General features: G+C 44.7%; 1 gene segment (V, D, J or C); it reads left to right on the top strand.

Annotated features, from left to right (window-relative positions):
- The first annotated feature begins 842 nt into the window (after positions 1-842).
- LOC112268314 (immunoglobulin kappa variable 1-39-like) lies at positions 843-2,892 on the top strand. The segment is given in 3 exon segments: positions 843-1,007; positions 2,346-2,445; positions 2,570-2,892. Coding segments are annotated over 3 exon segments (588 nt in total).
- Positions 2,893-3,846: the final 954 nt, after the last annotated feature.

Genomic DNA, 3,846 nt, shown 5'->3' with positions numbered 1-3,846 from the left:
ATAGATTCCAGATATTAGGACAATGATGTCTTTAGTGGGTGTATTATTTATTCCACAAACAACTCTCATCATCCACACAATGGTCTTCCCCTAAGGTAGAATAAAAATATCACAAGGCAGATTTATGAGGCGATCGACCTAGAAAAAACCTGAGACTCTAGGACTGTCTGATGTGTGGATGTCAAATCCTGGGAGATTCTGAGTCTCTGCTCTATGTGGACTCTATGTTGTGTAGCCATTTGTGGAAGGCTTCTGTGATTTTGTGACCTAGAGAAAATGAATCTCTGCTAAAATCAAATCTAAGAAAGATTGGCAAAGGGAATTTAAAGATTTCCTAAATTTTTGGAATTTCCCTAGGCATTAAAACAGGAGAAGTGGCAATAATTCAAACCAATGATGCCCTCCAAGAATGAGAATTTTTCCAATGCATTAGGTTGGGTCCCCTCAGTGAGAAGGATGCCAAAGATTCGCATGCAGGCAGTATATTTACAAAGTGCGGGAAACAAGCAAGTGAGCAAGGGAGGGGAGGAGGGAAAGGGAAAGTGAAAGGTGTCTCAGAAGGAGCCACCTCTGAGGATGACGAGAGCTCAAGCCTACATAGAAACACAGGAAAAATGCCTCTGTTATTCCACCTGAGAGGTGAGGGAGCTGGGGGATGTATACACCTCCCTTGTCATCACTGATTGACAGCCGTCCTAGGGGTTGCTAATTCCAGGCCATGAGGTCTGCCTCATTTGCAGCCTGAGCTGCTTCCCCAGGTTCAGATAGAGCAGTGAAGGGGAGAAAGGGCCATAGAGAGTCGGCTGAAGTATAATGACTAGAATCCCCAAGGCGTAGTAACAATGACTGCAAAAATTATGCACAAAGAAGAAGCGCATTTGAATCCAGAGATGTATCTCTCTGAATCTGGATATATGGATCCTGGCAGCCTGTTCAGTAGCCATTTCCCAGAAATCCAGTCCTCTGGAAAAGCAGCAGGAGGTTTGTGCACAGGCTGCACTACCTTGGTCTGGCCACTGGTAGTCGTGCATGAGAACTACTCCCTGGAGTGTTTCTCAGTCCACTGACACTGACGTAATTGGCTCCACTTCCCCTGCTGTTGAGCCAGGCTGACACACCCTGGACAAAGACATCTGTGTGAAGTATTGAGGTTCAAATCAGTGCTTAAGATATGTTTGGATGCAAAATACTTTTTCATCTACATGGGCAGTGTCTTGGCAGAAGATGGAGATTCTCTCTAAATGGATGTGAGACAGGGTGGCTGGCATCTGGGTCAGGATGTTGCCCTGGTGCATGGCAAGGACATGCATTGGGCAGCAACTGCCCTCGCTAAGGAGAGAGGTTCACTGACCTGGCTTTTCCCCCCTCACCTGCTCTCCAGAAAGCCAGACTCTAGGGCAAATGCTCCTGAGACCCCAAGAACAGGCTGGTGGGGAGCGCAGCTCAGAGCATTACTCAGGGGATGTGGCCTTTGTCATCCTACTTTGAAACAATTGACTATTTGAGCCTAGATTGATAGAGGGCTTCAAGTTGATTTTAATCCAGGCTCCTATAGTCAGCGAGTGAAACAGAGATTTTAGTTGAAATAATGAGACCTGGTATTACTAGTCAGCTCTCCATGCTGGAGAACCATAAGAAATTATACCAAAGGCAGGAAAGGGGATAGAATATGGGGATCATCACACCAAGAATAAGGTGCAGCCCATTTAGCCCCTGGGTCTTAAAGAGACCCATAGCTCTGGATAATGGCAGATCTATGCGTGACACAGTTATCATCTTTGTGCATCTTCAGAGAATTGTTTTTCCTTTTACTCCTAGGAACAATGTCTTAAGTTTGTTAGTAAATTCTATTGAATTTATTAAAGATTCTTCTGATAAATTCTTTTTATATTCATTTCAAAAAAGAAGAAATTTCACACTGACAGAGACATTGTTATTATAGCACTAAATACTTTTACACTCTTCAAATTCCTTTGAGGCTAACTGAAATTTCTGACAGCCCCACATTCTACAACTTTATTGTAAATTTTCTGCCAAAAGTGATGCTTCCCTATACACTCCTAATACAAGTATAAATATATTATTTAATCTAGGCTTAGGTTGATTTAAAATTTTGAAAATTCACTCCAAAAATATGTTCTGTAACCGTATGGCCACCAATGAGAAATGTATTCTTTCAAGGTAAATCTGTGCTGCCCTGGTCTGACCTGGGACTCTGGGGATACTGCGCCCCTGTGCTGAGTTACTGAAATGAGCCAGCCCCGCAGCTGTGCTCAGCCTGCCCCATCCCCTGCTGATTTGCCTGTTCCTAAAGCACAACCCCCTGCCCTGAAGACTTTTTATAGGCTGGTCACACCCGGTGCAGGAGTCAGTCCCAGTCAGGACACAGCACAGATGTGAGGGCCCCCACTCAGCTCCTGGGGCTCCTGGTGCTCTGGCTGCCAGGTAAGGAAGGAGAACACTAGGATTATACTTGGTCAGTGTGCTCAGTACTGTCTGGAACTTCAGGGAAGTCCTCTGATAACATGATTAATTGCAAGAATATTTGTTTTTATGTTTCCAACTTCAGGTGCCAGATGTGACATCCAGATGACCCAGTCTCCATCCTCCCTGTCTGCATCTGTAGGAGACAGAGTCACCATCACTTGCCGGGCGAGTCAGGGCATTAGCAATAATTTAAATTGGTATCAGCAGAAACCAGGGAAAACTCCTAAGCTCCTGATCTATGCTGCATCCAGTCTGCAAAGTGGGATTCCCTCTCGGTTCAGTGACAGTGGATCTGGGACAGATTACACTCTCACCATCAGCAGCCTGCAGCCTGAAGATTTTGCAACTTATTACTGTCAACAGAGTGACAGTACCCCTCCCACAGTGTTACAAGTCATAACATAAACCCCAAGGAAGCAGATGCATGAGGCTGGGCTGCCCCAATGCTCCTTCTGGTGCCTCTGTCTGCTGAGAAAAGTTCTCAAACTCAGTCAGGTTTGGAAAGTCATAGGGAGATTTTCCTAGAGGAGGCCAGGGAGGTTCCTCTGAACCCTAAGCCTCTTTCATCCTCATCCCCAGCAGAAAAGACGTGACAATGACTGTCCTGACTGAATAAAGAAGAGAGATAAGTCCAGCTGAGGAGTCTGTGTTATGGGATAATCGGAATTTGTACAGCAAAAGAGAAGCTATTCTCAGTATTTCAAGGAGAAATTATTCAAGTTGAATAAATTAGAGTCTAAACCACAGTCTTTCTGAAGCCTATGGAGTGTTATTCATGAAGCAGGTACTAGACACAGGGGATTCTCAGGTGTTACTTCAGAAGCCAGGGTTCACCTGCCCCTGGTGGTATGTGCTGAACACCGTGTGATGATCCTCAGTCCTGTCTGGGAAGCCCAGAGCTGGGGGTGCTGATGCTCTCAGCTGCCTGCAGCACATCTCCAGGTGATTCTCCAGTCCACACCTAACAGCATGTGCTTTACTTCAGGTGTCAGTGTACATGAATCCACCACTCTGACTTCCCAATCTCATGACAGTAATTAGTTGTAACTTATTGTGACCTCGTGGAGCAACTCTAAAGAAACCATAGAGAGAAAAGGAGTTTTGGAAAATGTGCTCCCAGAAGTGATAGTAGTGATGGGGAATTGACAGCTGACGGGGAAGTAAGGTGACTCTTTCCACAAGGCTCAACATTTTGCCAGTTACGAATTGTTGCAAAATACATTTGAATGTGCTTTCAAGTATTAACAGTTTGGGGTCATAGCTGAAAAACTTTATTAAGTCACAGATAAAATGGGAAAATCAGGAAATTGTATGAAATATACAATAACACTATGTGTGATGGCTCAGGTCTGTAATCCT

Source organism: Homo sapiens (genome assembly GCF_000001405.40).
Source record: "Homo sapiens chromosome 14 unlocalized genomic scaffold, GRCh38.p14 Primary Assembly HSCHR14_CTG7_UNLOCALIZED".
NCBI lineage: Eukaryota > Metazoa > Chordata > Mammalia > Primates > Hominidae > Homo > Homo sapiens.
Note: the sequence above shows the minus strand (reverse complement) of the source record. Positions and strands in the feature narration are given on the sequence as shown.